This window comes from Homo sapiens, chromosome 19 (assembly GCF_000001405.40).
Source record: "Homo sapiens chromosome 19, GRCh38.p14 Primary Assembly".
NCBI lineage: Eukaryota > Metazoa > Chordata > Mammalia > Primates > Hominidae > Homo > Homo sapiens.
This window is the reverse complement of record NC_000019.10, coordinates 55,246,031-55,262,117: the sequence shown is the minus strand read 5'-3', so window position 1 is coordinate 55,262,117 and position 16,087 is coordinate 55,246,031. Positions and strand designations below refer to the sequence as shown.

Genomic DNA, 16,087 nt, shown 5'->3' with positions numbered 1-16,087 from the left:
GAATTTCCCAGGTTAGACATCTAAATTTTCCCTAGGGTAGCCGCCATTTCCCTTCCCAGCATCCTTTGCTGTAGGGTAATCATGTGACATTAGCTCCACAAATCAGAACTCTCTCTGGGAATCTGTTTTGTACACCAATCAGAACCCGCTGGTGGTCTAGCTCCTCTACCAATCAGAGCCCGCCGGTCGTCGGGCCAAGAGTTGGCGGTGGAGGGGCCCCTGCCCAGGTTCCCTTCTGGCTAGTGCAGGAGCAGCCACACCTGGCTTCTGGACAGGGCTGGCAGAGATTCTGGCGGGAGTGTCTGAGCCAGGTGCCGTTGATGGAGGCTGCACTGTGTCTCAGGAGCAGGCCTGTGGCTGGGTGTGGGCTTCATTCCTGACTGCAAAGCGCCAAGCGGATTCTGTAGCTTTCTCAGAGACGTGGGATTGGGGCGGGAGGTGGGGGTGTCGGAGGCTGCCTCAATTCCTTTAATAAATTCCTTTTCTGTTTAGCTACAAGAAATTTTGTCATTTGTAGACAAGAGCTTTGAAAGCTGTTGTTTTTCCAGAGAGGAGGCTGAGCTCAGAGGAGGCTGACCCCTGACCAAGTTCACAGCCAGGATTCACAGCTGGACTAATTCCAGAGCGATCCTCCTCTTTCTTTTTCTTTTTCTTTCTTTTTTTTTTCTTTTGAGACGGGAGTCTCACTCTGTTGCCCAGGCTGGAGTGCAGTGGCCCGATCTTGGCTCACTGCAGCCTCCACCCTCCGAGTTCAAGAGATTCTCCTGCCTCAGCCTCCCAAGTAGCTGGGATTACAGGCGCCTGCCACCGCGCCCGGCTAATTTTTGTATTTGTAGTAGAGACCAGGTTTCACCATCTTGGCCAGGCTGGTCTTGAACTCTTGACAGGGTGATCCACCCTCCTCGGCCTCCCAAAGTGCTGGGATTACAGGTGTGAGCCACTATGCCCGGCCAATCCTCCTCTTTCTTGTATCCTGGTTTCCTAGGACAATTTGATGTCAGACTCATTCCTTTTGTGTGGATTGTTCTGGTGGATCTGGGATTTTTGAGTCTATTTGGATTGGTTTTTATCACTCCTCTTCCTAAATCCAGGATAAATTGAGAGGTAGCTGCAGGATCTGAGATCCTGTCTCAAGAAAAAAGTTCCAGTTGTAGTCCCAGCTACTCGGGAGGCTGAGGCGAGAGGATTGCTTGAGCCCAGGAGTTCGAGGCTGCAGTGATCTGTGATCGTGCCATGCACTCCAGCCTGGTCGACAGAGCCAGACCCTGTCTCTTAAAAAAAAGTTTCAATTCTAATGCAAACACAATGTATATCTGTGAGTTCTGCTGGGTGGAAATCCAGACTTCAGTCATTAAAGCCCCCACAGCTTCCCAGCTTCCATTTGAAGGGTAGGGACTATAGCCACATCCTTATCCCTCAGTTCCTGACCTCTGTGTTAAAACAGTGTGGCAATGATGCCATCATATTGTGGAGAAAACAAGGAAGCCAAATGCTGGGTAAAAGACAAAACATCTCTATAGAAAAAAGAGAAAAGGAAATGCCTCTCTGTGATGGTTCATTTCAGGTGTTGACTGGGCTAAGGGATGTCCAGATAGCTGGTAAAACATTATGGGTGTGTCTATGAGGGTATTTCTGGAAGAGACTAGCATTTGAATCGGTAGACTGAATAAAGATCTTCCCTCCCCAGTGTGAGCTGGCATTATCCAATCCATTGAGGGTCTCAATAGAACAAAGAGGGCAAAGGAGGGGTGAATTTGCTCTTTTTTTTTTTTTTTTTTTTTCTCGAGACGGAGTCTCGCTCTGTCACCCAGGCTGGAGTGCAGTGGCCTGATCTGGGCTCACTGCAACATCCACCTCCCGGGTTCAAGTAATTCTCCTGCCTCAGCCTCCTGAGTAGCTGGGATTACAGGCGCACACCGCCACGTCCGGCTATTTTTTGTATTTTAGTAGACACGTGGTTTCACTGTGTTGCCCAGGCTGGTCTCAAACTCCTGAGCTCAGGCAATCCGCCCACCTCGGCCTCCCAAAGTGCTGGGATTATAGGCGTGGGGTCTTGAACTCCTGAGCTCAAGTACAGGCAGGCGTGAGCCACCACGCTGGGCCCTTTGTTTTTGAGACAGGTTCTCGCTCTGTCTCCTAGGATGGAGTGCAGTGGTGCAATCCGGCTCACTGCAGCCTCGGCTCAAGCGATTCTCCTGCCTTAGCCTCCCGAATAGCTGAGACCACAGGCGCGGGCCACCAGGCCCAACTAATTTTTTAAATTTTCTTTTGTAGAGACGGGGGTCTCCCTAGGTTGCCCAGGCTGGTCTCCAACTCCTGGTCTCATGCCATCCTCCGGCCTCGGGCCTCCTAAAGTGTTGTGATTACAAGCGTAAGCCACCGCGCCCGGCCAATTCGGAGTCTTAAAACAAAAACAAAAACAAAAAAGTTCCTCGCGCCCACACGATTTTTACAGTAGGCCTCTAACATGGGTAGAGAGGGGAGCTATTAAAGTTGGGGAAACCGAGGCTCAAAGCCAGAGGGACCTTCATCAATCTAGACACAAGGTCTAGGAGGTCTCTTTCAGTTGATGCTATTAGAAGCTGCTTTGGGCGGAACTGGCAACACCAGCGACCCGGCCGGGACTATCGCCAGCAGACGGAAACGACTGAGGGCCTCTGAGGCTCGGAGGCGGCTAAGCGCGAGAGCCGGACGGAACGAAGGCGCCTGGCTTTGGCTGGAGCGAAAACCAGGTCTGGATTTCGCAAGAGCCCGACCCTGGAGCCAAAGCTCCACTATGATTAGAGGAGACAGAACAGCGAACGGATTTCCAAACGGAGCGAGTGGGAAGGGAAATCCTGGAGCGGAATATTCACGGGGCCTTGGAACGGAGCCGGTGCGCAGCTGCGGCTCACTGAGCTGTCTGGGTTTATTCCGGGGCAGACCGTTGGCACCAACGGGCGCAAGCGCGTCTGCGGCGGCGGGGTTCAAGAGTGGGCGGTGTCGGGAGCGCCCGGGCGCACGCGCACTGCACCGCCCAGGCGTGCACCCCGCCCCCCGCACCTGCGCACCAACACAGCCGCGGGAGGGCGGGGCCTCCTGCGTCGTCCTGCGCTAGGGGGATTGTGGGATAGTGGCGGAGGGAGCCGGGCGTCGGAGGCCCTGAGGCCGGCCGCAGAGCCCGGAGATTGAGCGGCTTTGGGGAAGGGGTGGTTAAGGAAGTAGGCCTCGGCTTCCGTCGGTCGCTGCTCGGCTCTGCGGCCCGTTTGGACCGCGGAGGAGGTCGCCTTCCCCTCCCGTGGGGCGCTCGGTTGGACTGTGGAAACCGGGGCAACTTCCCCCGTCTTCCCGGCTGAGGCGCCTGCGTGGGCCTCGCGACCCGGCTCGCCAACCCGCCTCGGCCCGCACGCCCACCTCGCCTGCGGACCCCGGAGGTGCCTACGCGGACTAGTGACGCCCCCCGCCCGTCGGCAACTCCACCCGGCGCTGACCCCCTCAACTCTGCAGGACCCGGCGCGCGAGGACCCCACGACCCGCGGGCGCCTGCGCGGACCCCGCGAGCCCCGGCGCCTGCGCGAGTCCCCGACGCCGCCCCCGCCCCCACTCACCGGGCCCCGCAGCAGGGGCCGGAGCCGCCGGCGGCGGGGCGGGGGGGGGCGCCCCGATGAGCCCCGAGTGCGAGGAGCCGCCGCCCCCCCTCGCAGGTGAGCGGCCCGCGTCGCCCGACCCTCTCTCTCCAGGGCCAGGCGCCCACGTCTTCCCCTCTCCGCGTCCCCTCAGGCTTTTCCCTCTCGGGACCCCCGCGGGTCTTTTCTGCTTCGGATCCTTTCCCTCCTTCCTTCGGGTTTCCTCTCCACGGCACCCCGTTTCTTCCCCCTCGACCCTCCCCAGTCTCTTAATCTCTTCACCTCAGCTCCGCCGCCACCCTAGTCTCAGTCTCTTGCTCTCGGCCTTTTCCCACTCGCTCTCTGCAGCTGCGCTCCCCAGTCCCTGAGCCTCAGCTCCGCTCTCTTGCCTCTCTGGCCGGTTCCCCGGCCCCCCAGGAGTCTTTCTCCCTGGTTACCCTGGACTTTGCCTGCTTACACCCTTCCCTCTCGCCCCGATCTCTGCCCCGCCACCTCTTCCGTGGCGCAGCCTCCTTAGATCCCCGGAGCTCAGGACTGGAGGAGCGGGGCTTGTTTTCACCTTGACCGACCCTCTCCCGCCTCCGGCTTCTTGTGCGAGGGACCTGGGAGCGGGGCTTCTCTGGAGCAGCCACCACTCGGGCCTGCTTCAGTGAGATGAAGCCTGCTGAGGGCAGGCAGGGAGCCTGGCGCTGGGCACCGAGGAGGGGGCATCAGCCCTAGGCCCTGCCCTGGAGGTGGGGCCGGTCCCTGGAGGGGGTACAAAGGCAGAGCCGGACAGTCACAATTCCTGCGTGTCGTGATCGAGGTGACTTAGGGAGCTGCAGGGGGCCACAGAGCGGGAGGCACTGGTGAGACTGACTGGACGGACGGCTTTTTCTGTCTAGGAAGGATGAGTAGGAGGTGACAGATGGAGAGTGGGAAGAAGGGCCTTCCGGGGGGGGAAGGAGCAGCACGTGCAGATATGTCAAGGAAGGAAGGTCGGAGTCCTGAGTGCAGATGTATTGGGAGGGTGAGGGGCAGAGTAGTTCCGCCCGGCGTGCTTATCCAGGCCTCGAATGGGACCTCTGGTTGGGGTCTTTCTTGCTCGCTCGTAGTACACACAGACATGACCATAGACACCCGCCTGAAAGGCAAGATGTTTCAGGAAAGGAAGCTGCGTAGACTGTCAGGTGCGGTACTGGGTTCACAGTTGTAGAGAAACTGCAGTGGGATTTCATCCAGCCCAAGGGCGAGGGTCTAACTGTTAGCGTGCGCTGCAAATGCAGCAAGGACTCGAGATTGCCTGGATAACACAGGATGAGGACTTGGTTTACATACATGCACAACACACATGGAGACACGGCGCCCGGCCACGTGTGCTTACTAGTGGTGGGATGGCTGTTGGAGCTGCTTGTGCTGTTGAAAATGTTATGCTTTTTTTTTTTTTTTTTTTTTAACTCTAGTTCTGGGATTGGGATCATGAGAAGGCAGTCCAGCTAATTGTTAGAGGATCTTTTGCCAGACAGACCTAGGCCGAGTCCGGCTTCTGCCAAGCGAGACCTTGGACAAGTTGTTCCTCGTCTGTAAGTGGGGATAGCAGACTGCTCTCCTCAGAGGGTGGATCTAGGGATTAAGTGCAGGGTTTGTAGAAGCCTGTGGCAGAATGCAAGGCACATGACACTCTGCAATCAGTAGCTGTTTTGATGTTGATGATTTTGAGACTGGGTTTTGCTCGTTTGCCCAGCCTTGAACTCCTGGACTCAAGTGATTTTCCCACCTTAGCCTCCTAAGTAGCTAGGACTACAGGCACGTCCTGCAATGCTTGCTCAATTTTTGTGTTTTTGTACCACGCTTGGCTAATGTTTGTATTTTTTGTAAAGACTGGGTCTTGCTCTGGTGCCCTGCTGTGGTGCCCAGGCTGATTTCAAACTCGTGGGTTCAAGCAGTCCTCCTACCTAGCCTCCCAGAGAGCTGGGATTATAGGCATGGACCACCACACCTGGCCGTTCTTTCGATTATTATTTGATTTGGGAATGTCCATTGCAGTGGCTCTCAACTGGGGGCGATTGTGTCCCCTGGGGGACGATTGGCGATATCTGGAGATGTTTTTGGTTGTTACAACTGGGGGGAATGCTGCCAGTATCTGGTGAGTGGAGGTGGAGGCTAGGGATGTTGCTAAGTGTCCTCCAGTGCATGGGCAGCCCCAACACCGAAAAGAACCGTCCAGCCCAAATGTTAGCAGCGCAGAGGAGGAGAACTTTGCTCCACTGCTGGGGTATGGTGTGTCGTTGTGGCTTATTTGCTCTGTTGTGACTCATGAGCTGTGAGTTGGTGAGTTGTGTATTGCGAGTCACCACCATCTTTGTGGCCATTAGCTTTTGTTGGTTCATCTACTGTTTCTTTCCATTAGAGGAGAACCTGCTTGTCTGGTCCCCCTGCCCATTTTTTTTCTTTTGTGGGATGTGTGGCCCAGTGCTCTTAACAGAACACCTTTCTCTGGCTTCAGTTTTCATTAATTCAACAAGTAGCTTTAGTTGGGCCTGGCCTTATGCTAGATCCTGGGAAGTCGGCATGTTTCAGGGGGAGGCAGATGACTGAACAGGTACATCCTGTCACAGAGCCGAGGCTCACATGCTGTTCCAGGGTGACTGCGGGATGCTGTGGAAGCGGCGTGGAGCAGGCCTCTAACACAGATGCGGGGGGGAGGCTCCCTGGAGGAAGTGGTGTCTGTGTGGGGGCCTGAAGGACCCAGGAGGAGCTAGTCAGACTCGAAGAGCTCCGGGAAGGAGGAGGGAGCAGCCCAGCCCCGGCTGAGGGCAGTCAGGTGTGACGCCCACGCGGGAGGTAGCAAGAGATGAGGTGAGAGAGGCCTGAGAGCTTTGGTGAGAGTGAGGGGCCTTGCCAGAGTGGGAATCACTCGGCACCCGGCTTGATGGGGCTCACCTGCCTTTCCATGCCAAACCGTGGTTTTCCCTTTGCACACCAGTTTTGTGGGTCCTTCTCCAGAGAGTGCTGCCTTATAGTAACCCCATCTGTGAGGTATTTCCCGGATAAGGAAACTGGGGCTCGGTGGGGTGAGATCCTTGGTCTAGGCCACAGAGATTTCAGTTTGGGGAGGTCAAATGGGAATGCAAGCTTTTCTGACTTTGGATCACACTGTAACCCTAACTCTGCCCCTTTCTGTTTTTCCAAAGAGCTATTTCAAATCCGTTCATTGGTCTTTTCCTTTCTTTCCTTTAAACCTGTGGCCAGTTCAGGAGACGATTTGAATGTGGATGTTCAAGTCCCCGTCCCAGTCCTTGGCCAGTGTTTCTAGACTCTTCTGTTTCCTAGTTATTCCATCCTCTGGGGTTGGACCAGGGCTGCTAGCTCCCTTGGGAGGGTGTGCTTCTGGGGCCAGAGGGGGAGGCACTGAGGGTTCTCTTTAAGTGGGGACCCTCCCCAAGGCTTTCCCAAGCCACAGGAAAGCCCTAGCTCATCATCTTGTTGGGCCTTGGGCCGCTCCCCCTTCTCCTCTGGCCCCAGTGGCCCTTTCTATCAAATTGGTGTCCCTGGTTCCTCCTTGCTGGGTGGGTGATGCCGGATTCTGCAGCCGGCACACACCGTAGGTCCTGCCCAGAGGTGGTGGGGTTGCCATTACTGTCACTGCATCCCTGGAATTGGGTGTTCCCAGCCCCCTTTCAGATTTGGCTGAGAGCTGACAGAGGCTTGGGGGACATTAGAGGGAGATGGTCTTGCTGTCCTCCGGACTCTGGGCCCTTTAAGGAGCTGGGTGCTGGCCAGCCTGCTGCTGGTAGCAGGCTCTTTCCCTTCCTAGGGTACCGGCCAGGGGGCCAGGCGTTGGAGCTTCTGCTGAGCATTGGGACAGCTCAGGCAGCTGTTTCTGGAGGCCCCCTGAGGCATCTGTGCCCATGACCTCCATTTCTGGGTGCTCGTGGGTCAGCGCAGGTTGGGAAGGGGTGACAGATGAAGCATGGGCCCACCGGTTCCCTGGCGGCAGAGCTGTGCTTGGGCGGATACGTGCAGCAGTGGGGATGGCTCTGTGGGAGCCGCAGTTAGTGCCTGTCCAAGCAGGGGAAGGAAGGGGCTGGCAGGCCCTTGAGGGGTGGCTGGTGTTGAAGGCCCTAAAACACCACAGCTAAGTCAGAAACCAGAGGCAATAGTGCAGAGCTGGTGGAGGGAGAGCGGCAGAGGTAGTTTTCGTTTTTAATGGCTTCCTTTCTCATTTACAATTTCCCCTTCTTCCGTTTGCAGCCAGACTCATGGTTTTCAAACGGTAGCTAAAAACTAGTGGTAGTCACTTCCGCTTTCTTGAAGTTGCTAAAAGTTGCAAAGAATGGGGGTGGCGGGGTGCATGGCGCCTGCCGTAGTATCCGAATGGTCTGAGGAAAAGTACTTGAGTCACTTAGGCAAATGGGTAGAGTCTTTCTCCTGCTCCTCTGTGTTTAGCACCATCACCTTTGGGGTAGTGACCGGTCCCCTACCTGTCCTGCCAGAAAGCATCTGGACGTGGCCTCAGGGTTGGACCGGAAGAGACTTGCACCTGCTGAGCTCCTGCTGTGTCACGGCCACCTGCTTTAGCTCAATGCCTTTTCACAGCAGCCCGCCCTGGTGGGCTGTGTCTCCTTTTCACGGATGAGGAAATGAGACTCAGAGAAATCAAGCGCCTGCCCAGGTTCACCAGGAGAGTGCGAGTGAAACCCACTCTCCTGCTCCATTCGCAGGGATTCTAGCAGGCTTCATTAGGTTGGGAGAGGGGACTGAGAGGGCTTCAGGCCATAGTGCATTCAGAGGTTGTGGTGGGGGAAAGTTTTTTTCTCTTTTTTTCTGTTCTTCCATATTTGCATCTTCATTCTGTTTAGAGCCTGATAATTGAGGTCTGTAGAGTGTCGACCACTCAATTGCATTTGAGCCTTTCAGTCTATTCTGATTTTCAGAGGAGCCACTTGAGATGGAGAGTTCAGGGCGCTGCCTGGGTTCTCAGGGCCGAAGTTCTTGGATGCCGTGCACCAGCGAGCACCCTCCCGTCTCATTCTGGCTGCCCCTGCCCCAGTTGTCTGGGGAGCTCGGTTTGGAGGGGAAGCCTGACCTTTTCCCCGAAGCAGATGGTTAGTCTGTACCAGGGGTAGGGGGTTTGGGGGCCGAGGGCCATGCCTGTGCCCTTTAATCAGGTATCTTAGAAGTGAACGGTGGGCCTCAGTGTGAGAATTTCTGCCTGTTGTTTAGAGACCAGGGCACACTGGAAGCCTCTTGCTAGCCATGTGGCTCCACCCCTCTGGGCCCCTCTTCCACATGAGACTCTGTCGGAATAATAAGAATTCTTTACTTGGTCTTGATGTGGAGCCGAGACAAGTGTCTCTGCAAGTGCGGGTCCATGGATTTTCTACAGATGCTGGCTTGGTGCTGCTCCTATCCCGTCCCCACTGTGGAGGGGCTCACTTAGCTTAGAGCTGTTGGTGGTGAGGGATGGGGAAGGGGTAACCTGGGTGAGTGCCCCAGGGCTGAGCCTTGGCAGCTTCAGCTCTGCCAGGCTGGCCGGCATCTCATCAGCTCTGCGGACGCTGGGACATAGTGCAAGGCCTGAGCCTGGCCCTGGCTCTGTCCCTGCCATGGCCGATGGCCTGAGGCAGGTTTTTTTTTTTCCCCCAACAGTTTTTATTGAGATATTCTGTACAGTTCATCCATTTAGAGTGTACAGCCAGGCGCAGTGGCTCACGCCTGTAAGCCCAGCACTTTGGGAGGCCGAGGCAGGCAGATCACTTGAGGTCAGGCATTCAAGACCAGCCTGGCCAACGTGGTGAAACCCCGTCTGTACTAAAAAAATGCAAAAATTAGGCCGGGCGTGGTGATTCATGCCTGTAATCCCAGTGCTTTGGGAGGCCCAGGCAGGCGGATCACAAGGTCAGTAGTTCGAGACCAGCCTGGCCAATATGGTGAAACCCCGTCTTTACTAAAAAAACACACACAAAAATTAGCTGGGTGTGGTGGCGCACTCCTGTAATCCCAGGTACTCAGGCTGAGGTGGGAGAATTGCTTAAAACCGGGAGGCGGAGATTGCAGTGAGCCGAGATCGCGCCGCTGCACTCCAGCCTGGGTGACAGAGCGAAACTCTGTCTCAAAAAAAAAAAAAAAAAAAATCAGCCAAGAATGGTGGTGCGCACCTGTAGTCCCCACTACTCGGGAGGCTGAGGCAGGAGATATGCTTGAACCCAGGAGCTGGAGGTTGCGGTGAGCCGAGATCGCGCCACTGCACTCCAGGCTGGGTGACAGAGAGAGACTCTGTCTCAAGAAAAAAAATAATAAATAAAGGGTACAATTCAGTGGTTCTTAGTGTATTCACAACGTTGTGGAAACATCACCACAATTGATTTTGGAACTTTTTTTTAATCACCCTTTCCTTTCAGGAACTTCGCCCAATCCCCGCCAGCTCCTGGAAGCCTGTAAGCTCTTTTCTGTCTCTATGGATTTGCCTGTTCTGGATGCTTCACATAGTTGGAGGCCTGCAGTGTGTGGTTCCTTGGGACTGGCTTTGCTGGCATGGCATGGGCAGCCTATCAGCCTGCTTGGTCTCCCACGGAGAAAGAGGCTGTGTGTGTGTGCTTGCCACGTCTCGGTGCTTTGCTCGCCACAGCCTTAGGCCGGAAATTGGCAGAGTCATGATAAATTTGGCGGTTGCCCCTTGAGATTATTCTGGTCCCAGGTACACCCAGATCAGGAAATCCATTCCCCCTCCCGCTTCCCTCAGCACGCTGGTGAGTCACCTTTGCTGAGCCTGAGTTTTCTCATCTGTGACATGGACACTTGGTGGTCGGCCTGTCGCATTCCTTGTCAAGCGGGCTGGGAAGTAGGGGATGGTCCCTTGAGGAGGTCTAGCATCTGGGCAGAAGTGGGGAGGTGGGGAGTTACCACTGTGCACACAGAGGTTCCCGGAGCAAGGAAGGGAAACAGTTGTATTTCCTTGTGAGGTGGTGGTGCCTTCGTCACTCTTGACACAGGGGAAAATACACACCCATTGCCTGCCCAGGGCGATCTTGCACTTTCCCCCACCTCCTGATTTAGGGACCCCGTAGGAGTGGCTGGGAGGGGCCGGAGTGGGAGTGATTTCACTTCGTCTAACGCCCTGACAGGTACGGCAGCCTCCTGCCTGGGAGGAGCTGGGGCCTTGTGAAAATGAGGTTTGCTTTTCAGCTAATACTTGTGAGCGTTTATTGCCAGGGCCAGGTTCCATGCTAGGTGCTGCCCTCAGGTGCCCATGGTAACCTAGGGGGAAGGTTCTAGAGGAAGCATTGTAGGGCCACGAGTGTGTACCTCCAGTGCTTCATTGCTGTGTCACAGAGATGCTTCCAGGCGGCAGGTCAGAACGCACAGCTCAGGGAGACAGGGAGACAGTGGTGGACAAAGGCGGGGCTGGGGGCTGCTTGAGCCAGGCAGGCCAGGGAAGGCCCTTCTGTGAGGTGAATGCTTAGTAAGAGATCTGAGGATGAGAAAGTGAGTTATTAGGACAAAGTCGCTGGGGTAGACCCAAGCTTAGTGTGTTCTGAAAACAGAAGGCCAGCTTGGCCAGGGCAAGTAGGGAGTGGGAGGTCATTGAGGGTCCCAGGCGCTGACCCGATGAGAGGGCGGTTCTGATTTTCCCTTCAGCAAGCTCTGCATGGCTGTGGGGAGAGGGAACGAGCAGGGGTCGCCTGCGGTCGAGTGTGGGGGGCCTGCCGTCAAGTGGTGGTCATGCAGGCAGAAGGGGTGGGATGGTTATGTTTGGGGAGGTCAGCGGTGCCTGGGTCGGGGTGGGAGGCCTGATAAGTCCCTAGATTTCTGGTGGTGCTGGGTTGGAGGAGAACTCAGGCCTCTGGCCGAACTGTGCTGTCACAGCTGGGCTGGGAGGGTCCTGAGGACCACAGCCCTCCATCCTGAATCCAGGGATGTCTGTTGAGTAAGCACTAGCAGCTGGGGACAAGGTGGACAGGGAGTTTACCATCCAGACAGGTCCCTTCAGGGTGGGCCTGGAAATGGCAGGCTCCTCCCTGAGGTGAGAGTCGGGGTCACTGTGGCCAGGGCTAGTCCCTCAGGCAGAGCAAGTGCTGGAGCCGGCTCAGCGGGAACTCGCTCATTCATCCCTTAAGTGTCCACTACACAGGCCCTGTGCTGGGACAAGGGCTCTGCACCCTGAAAATACAACTTCTGAAAGCTGAGAGTGCCAGCTTCACTGCCCGCCAACCCCTGGATCGGGGCATAGGCATTTACTTTGGTGTGCCTCAGTTTCCTCTCCTGTAAAATAAGGCCATTCCCTGGAGGGTGGTTGTGAGAGTTGGTGGAGGTGATGGCTGTGAAGTCCTTTTCAGAGTAGTCAGCGCAGTGCAGGTGCTGGAGCGCAGTGGCTGATACCATCGACATCATTGCCTGGAATGCCCCCATCCACCCAGACCCGCAGGGCCTCCTGGATATCCATCCAGCACTGTGCCTCAGGCAGCCACGGGCTGTGCAGGAGACACCTGAAGTGGCAGCCCCAGGAGCACTGGCGAGGTGGCATGGGGCACGGCCTCCCCAGGGCACTGGGGTCACCGTGGGCATGGAGGTCAGTCAGTGAGCTGGCTGGGCAGGGGCACGAGAGCCTGGATGCAGGCTTGGTGGAGTGCACATCACCGAGCAGGTGCGGGTACTCATGTTTGTGCTTTAAAAGGATTTTTTTTTTTTTCCGAGACAGAGTGTTGCTCTGCCACCCAGGCTGGAGTGCAGTGGCGCAATCTCGACTCACTGCAACCTCCGCTCCCGGGTTCAGGCAGTTCTCCTGCCTCAGCCTCCCGAGTAGCTGGGACTATAGGCACACACCACCATGCCCGGCTAATTTTTGTATTTTTAGTAGACACGGGGTTTCATCATGTTGGCCAGACTGGTGTCAAACTCCTGACCCCGGGTGATCTGCCTGCCTGGGCCTCCCAAAGTGCTGGGATTATAGGCGTGAGCCACCACACCCAACCTTAGAAGGAATATTGGGAGTCTGGGCATGGTGGCTCATGCCTGTAATCCCAACACTTTGAGAGGCCCAGGTGGGCGGATCACCTGAGGTTAGGAGTTCAAGGCCAGCCTGGCTAACGTGGTGAAATCCCATCTCTACCAAAATAGAAAAATTAGCCGGGTGTGGTGGCAGATGCTTGTAGTACCAGCTACTAGGGAGGTTGAGGCGGAAGAATCGCCTGAACCCGGGAGGTGAAGGTTGAGGTGAACCTAGATTGTGCCACTGCATTCCAGCCTGGGCAACAGAGTGAGACTCCTCAAAAACAAAGGATTATTGGGAAAAGTGGACTGGTGAGGGGTAAGTGGTGAGTCACTGGGTGCTGTGGACTGGGACCTGGCAGGCCCCCCAGAGGAGCAGGGGTTCAAATGCCTGGAGGCTGCTGCTATCTCCCCTAGTCCTCCTGCTGCCGCCATGACTGTCGTTGGTCACGGAACTCTTCCCTCTGCTCCACCCTCAACTGTCATTGGCCAGGTGTAGGGACCCATATAGTGTTATATCAAGATTGTTGCCAATCTAGAGTTACCGAGGCAGACGGGCAGACTGGGAGCAAGGTCTGGACTGCAACCTTCTGTGCTGAGCCCAGCCTTAGGGTGGTCAGGGTGGATGAGCAAGGAGATCCTGGCCCCAGGCTGGCCTGGCTTCAAGCTAGCCAGGAAGGAGAGGAAAGGAGGCCCAAGAGGCGTTCGACCTGCCTGAGGCCATGTGTGGGACTCTGTCCTGCGTTTTGTCAGCCCAGGCTGCTCTCCTAAGCTCCGATGAAGTCTCTTCCCTGGGCCTGGTGCTCCACGTCTCCCTGTCTCTTCCCTGGGGCCTGGGGCTGAGTCAGGCCTGGGGGCTGGTGGGCACTGAGGTGACAGGTCAGCAGGGCTCGAGGAGATGGTGGAGGCCTGTGCAGAGGGAATGACTGAACTGGAAGAAGCTGCAGAAGGGCATTGGAGGAGAGGGACTAGCATCTGTGCCTGGGAGTGATGGTGGTGAGGGCCTGCGGGAGAGGCACCCTTGGCCTCTTGTGCCGGCTCTGCTCTGTTCTCAGCATCCTCTGTAGTGACTTGGGGGTAGCAGTGGCCTCTGCCTTAGCTGGTGATGCGGTTGTCAGGAGGCAGGTAATGAGCGTGAGCTCTGGTCAGTGTCTTAACTGGTGAGAGCTCCGTGAAGGCTGTCTGCTGGGACCAGATGGCCTTCGAGATTCCAGGATGCCGCCTGACTTACCGGGCTTTGGTTGCCCCTTGTCCTGTGTGGCGGAGTGATGACAGCTTTCTTGGGGGCTGCTGGTGAGCTTGGACATCATGTGCACAGCACACATGCAGAGCCAGGACCATTGTCATCAAGTGCCCAGAGCACAGGTCACAGGTCAGGTCTGTAGTGGAAGGTCTGTGTGGAGGCTTTCTAGGGCTCTGCGGAGCAGTGATGTAGTACAGGGCAGGGGCTCAGAATGGAGTTGCCTGGCATCTTGTTAATACTCTGTGTGTGTTTCCTTATTGCCAGTGAGTTCCCATGCACGAGCGTTTAGGGGCTGGAACCAGGCTGAGGAACCAGGCACTGTCCTCCAGAGGGCGGGAGCCAGCTCCAGATGGGGACAGGGTCAGGGCCGGGTGTTGCCAGCTTTGTTCTTCCCCCACAGAATCTGTCTATCCCACCCTGGGTTCCTTCAGGTCCTGGTCAGTGACTATTCTGGGAGCCCCTCCCTTCCAACTTTTCCTCTTCCTTGTTCCAGCCCAGGTGCTGGGTGAGAGGATGGTTGGGGTGTGTTTGTGTGTGAGTGGTGTCCAGGCAACGGCCACAGCCTGGAGATGCACAGACTTCCTCTCTTCCCCCTGCCGCCGCCCCATGCCTCCCACGTAGCCTTGGGGGATTTGCTGGGCCAAGCAGCAGCCGTGTGCTGGAAGTCATCGGGCATCTGAGTTTGTTGAGCAAATACAGGTTGAAGCAAATTTGAAGCCAGAGGTTAAGGCCCTGCCTCTGCAGTGTCTCTCCCAAAAGTAGGGATAGTGGACCCAGACCCTCATGGGGAGACAGGGCCCGAGGCCCCTCAGTGCACAGGGTCCAGCCTCTTCTCGCAGGCCCTGCACATGGTCCACACCTGGGGACTTCACCAGGCCTGAGGCCTCAGGTGTGAAATGACCCCCTGGACCTCAGGCGAGGCGGCCGGGAGGCTGGAGATGGGGGAAGAGGGGCAGGCTCGAGGGCAACTGCAGGAGCCTGGTGCTCACTGGGAGCCTTAAGCCTGAGTGATGGAGGCAGTGAGCCTGCGGGCAGTCCCGGGGCGGGGCCGGGCTCAGCATGAGGCAGAGGGCTGGGACTTGGGGAGAGGCTGTGCCCAAGGTGGGCACTCAGCCCCTGTGGTCAGTGCCTCGTCCAGTGGGGACTCCCTGGGGCGTCTGACGCGGCGCTGGTTGTGTCTATGCCTGCAGGGCGCCATGTTTTGGAAGTTTGACCTGCACACAAGCTCGCACCTGGACACGCTGCTGGAGCGGGAGGACCTGAGCCTGCCCGAGCTGCTGGACGAGGAAGACGTGCTGCAGGAGTGCAAGGTCGTCAACCGCAAGCTGCTGGACTTCCTGCTGCAGCCACCCCACCTGCAAGCAATGGTGGCCTGGGTCACCCAGGAGCCGCCAGATAGCGGTGAGGAGCGGCTGCGCTACAAGTGAGTTCCCCAGCTCCTGGCCAGCCCGTCCCTATCAGCATCACACATACCTTCACTACGCAAGCCTCACAGCTACCCTGAAATGCGTCAGTGTCAGTAAACTCCAGTTTGGGGATGAGGAAGACGAGGCTGGGAGCAGCCAGGCTCCTGCACAAGGCCTCACAGCTCACCGGGTGCAGACCAAGCCTGTGCTCTGGAGGGCAGTGGCACAGTCACGGGTCACGGCAGCCACAAATTCACGGGCCCAGGTGATCCTCCCGCCTCAGTTGCCCGAGTAGCTGGGACCACAGGCATGTGACGACATGCCCGGCTGGTTTTTCTCTTTATTCGCCGCCTTTTATTTTATTTACTTTTTATTAAACTTTTTTTGTATGTTTGTGAAACACTTGTCTGCTATTGAAGACACTTTACTTATTTTTTAATCCAAGCGATGCTGAAAAGACACTTTTTTTTTTTTTTTTGAGACTCACTTTATCACCAGGTTGGAGTGCAGAGGCATGATCGGCTCACTGCAACCTCCTCCTCCCAAGTTCAAGTGATTCTCCTGCCTCACCCTCCTAAGTAGCTGGGACTATAAGCCAGCACGCCCAGCTAATTTTTGTATTTTTGGTAGAGACAGGGTTTCGCCATGTTGCCCAGGCTGGTCTTGAACTTCTGACCTCAAGTGATATGCCTGCCTCAGCCTCCCAAGGGGTACCTCCCCACAGTCCTGGAGCAGACTGTGGCCCCTCAGGGCCTTGAGTGGCACGCTGGTGGGGCAGCTCTTGTCTTGGAGCCGTCAGGCACCGTGTGAAAGTTTGGAGGAGGGAGGCAGGAGGTGAGGTTGGAAGTTGAGCAAGGTTCCAG

At 56.5% G+C, this 16,087-nt stretch overlaps 1 protein-coding gene across 14 annotated transcripts in view, besides 16 other annotated features; it reads left to right on the top strand.

Moving 5' to 3' along the window:
- Positions 2,464-2,513: an enhancer, noted in NCBI's record as "active region_15087". NCBI's record gives its function as "activates an Ori minimal core promoter by ATAC-STARR-seq in GM12878 lymphoblastoid cells {active_cell/tissue: GM12878}" and the evidence as "EXISTENCE:reporter gene assay evidence [ECO:0000049][PMID:35858748]".
- Positions 2,594-2,643: an enhancer, noted in NCBI's record as "active region_15086". NCBI's record gives its function as "activates an Ori minimal core promoter by ATAC-STARR-seq in GM12878 lymphoblastoid cells {active_cell/tissue: GM12878}" and the evidence as "EXISTENCE:reporter gene assay evidence [ECO:0000049][PMID:35858748]".
- Positions 2,674-2,873: an enhancer, noted in NCBI's record as "active region_15085". NCBI's record gives its function as "activates an Ori minimal core promoter by ATAC-STARR-seq in GM12878 lymphoblastoid cells {active_cell/tissue: GM12878}" and the evidence as "EXISTENCE:reporter gene assay evidence [ECO:0000049][PMID:35858748]".
- Positions 2,674-3,853: a biological region, named in NCBI's record as "Sharpr-MPRA regulatory region 13763".
- Positions 2,703-2,997: a silencer, noted in NCBI's record as "tiled region #13763; HepG2 Repressive non-DNase unmatched - State 1:Tss, and K562 Repressive DNase unmatched - State 1:Tss". NCBI's record gives its function as "represses a minimal TATA promoter and a strong SV40 promoter by Sharpr-MPRA in HepG2 and K562 cells {active_cell/tissue: HepG2 | K562}" and the evidence as "EXISTENCE:reporter gene assay evidence [ECO:0000049][PMID:27701403]".
- Positions 2,879-3,853: an enhancer, noted in NCBI's record as "H3K27ac-H3K4me1 hESC enhancer chr19:55769633-55770607 (GRCh37/hg19 assembly coordinates)". NCBI's record gives its function as "activates a minimal SCP1, AML or CMV promoter by ChIP-STARR-seq in primed H9 embryonic stem cells {active_cell/tissue: H9 hESC(primed)}" and the evidence as "EXISTENCE:reporter gene assay evidence [ECO:0000049][PMID:30033119]".
- Positions 2,904-3,183: a silencer, noted in NCBI's record as "silent region_11020". NCBI's record gives its function as "represses an Ori minimal core promoter by ATAC-STARR-seq in GM12878 lymphoblastoid cells {active_cell/tissue: GM12878}" and the evidence as "EXISTENCE:reporter gene assay evidence [ECO:0000049][PMID:35858748]".
- PPP6R1 (protein phosphatase 6 regulatory subunit 1) overlaps positions 3,101-16,087 on the top strand; it is a 30,800-nt gene continuing 17,813 nt past the window's right edge. For 2 of the 14 annotated variants that reach the window (XM_047438423.1, NM_014931.4), the window contains exons 1-2: positions 3,101-3,683; positions 15,009-15,241. In XM_047438423.1, the coding sequence (XP_047294379.1) occupies positions 15,015-15,241 (227 nt within the window). In that variant the 5' untranslated portion in view covers positions 3,101-3,683; positions 15,009-15,014. Of the gene's footprint in view, positions 3,684-4,392; positions 4,506-5,047; positions 5,168-6,344; positions 6,444-8,526; positions 8,693-9,988; positions 10,025-15,008; positions 15,242-16,087 lie in introns of those variants that run through there. The other 12 variants (XM_047438425.1, XM_047438427.1, XM_047438428.1 and 9 more) reach the window with 12 other exon arrangements.
- Positions 3,314-3,413: a silencer, noted in NCBI's record as "silent region_11019". NCBI's record gives its function as "represses an Ori minimal core promoter by ATAC-STARR-seq in GM12878 lymphoblastoid cells {active_cell/tissue: GM12878}" and the evidence as "EXISTENCE:reporter gene assay evidence [ECO:0000049][PMID:35858748]".
- Positions 3,584-3,643: a silencer, noted in NCBI's record as "silent region_11018". NCBI's record gives its function as "represses an Ori minimal core promoter by ATAC-STARR-seq in GM12878 lymphoblastoid cells {active_cell/tissue: GM12878}" and the evidence as "EXISTENCE:reporter gene assay evidence [ECO:0000049][PMID:35858748]".
- Positions 4,828-5,021: a silencer, noted in NCBI's record as "fragment chr19:55768465-55768658 (GRCh37/hg19 assembly coordinates)". NCBI's record gives its function as "represses an EF-1alpha promoter that drives an FKBP-Casp9 reporter gene in an ReSE screen in phorbol 12-myristate 13-acetate-treated (for megakaryocytic differentiation) K562 erythroleukemia cells {active_cell/tissue: K562(+PMA)}" and the evidence as "EXISTENCE:reporter gene assay evidence [ECO:0000049][PMID:32094911]".
- Positions 6,961-7,010: an enhancer, noted in NCBI's record as "active region_15084". NCBI's record gives its function as "activates an Ori minimal core promoter by ATAC-STARR-seq in GM12878 lymphoblastoid cells {active_cell/tissue: GM12878}" and the evidence as "EXISTENCE:reporter gene assay evidence [ECO:0000049][PMID:35858748]".
- Positions 7,311-7,450: an enhancer, noted in NCBI's record as "active region_15083". NCBI's record gives its function as "activates an Ori minimal core promoter by ATAC-STARR-seq in GM12878 lymphoblastoid cells {active_cell/tissue: GM12878}" and the evidence as "EXISTENCE:reporter gene assay evidence [ECO:0000049][PMID:35858748]".
- Positions 7,851-7,960: an enhancer, noted in NCBI's record as "active region_15082". NCBI's record gives its function as "activates an Ori minimal core promoter by ATAC-STARR-seq in GM12878 lymphoblastoid cells {active_cell/tissue: GM12878}" and the evidence as "EXISTENCE:reporter gene assay evidence [ECO:0000049][PMID:35858748]".
- Positions 7,971-8,190: an enhancer, noted in NCBI's record as "active region_15081". NCBI's record gives its function as "activates an Ori minimal core promoter by ATAC-STARR-seq in GM12878 lymphoblastoid cells {active_cell/tissue: GM12878}" and the evidence as "EXISTENCE:reporter gene assay evidence [ECO:0000049][PMID:35858748]".
- Positions 8,421-8,500: an enhancer, noted in NCBI's record as "active region_15080". NCBI's record gives its function as "activates an Ori minimal core promoter by ATAC-STARR-seq in GM12878 lymphoblastoid cells {active_cell/tissue: GM12878}" and the evidence as "EXISTENCE:reporter gene assay evidence [ECO:0000049][PMID:35858748]".
- Positions 10,393-10,542: an enhancer, noted in NCBI's record as "active region_15079". NCBI's record gives its function as "activates an Ori minimal core promoter by ATAC-STARR-seq in GM12878 lymphoblastoid cells {active_cell/tissue: GM12878}" and the evidence as "EXISTENCE:reporter gene assay evidence [ECO:0000049][PMID:35858748]".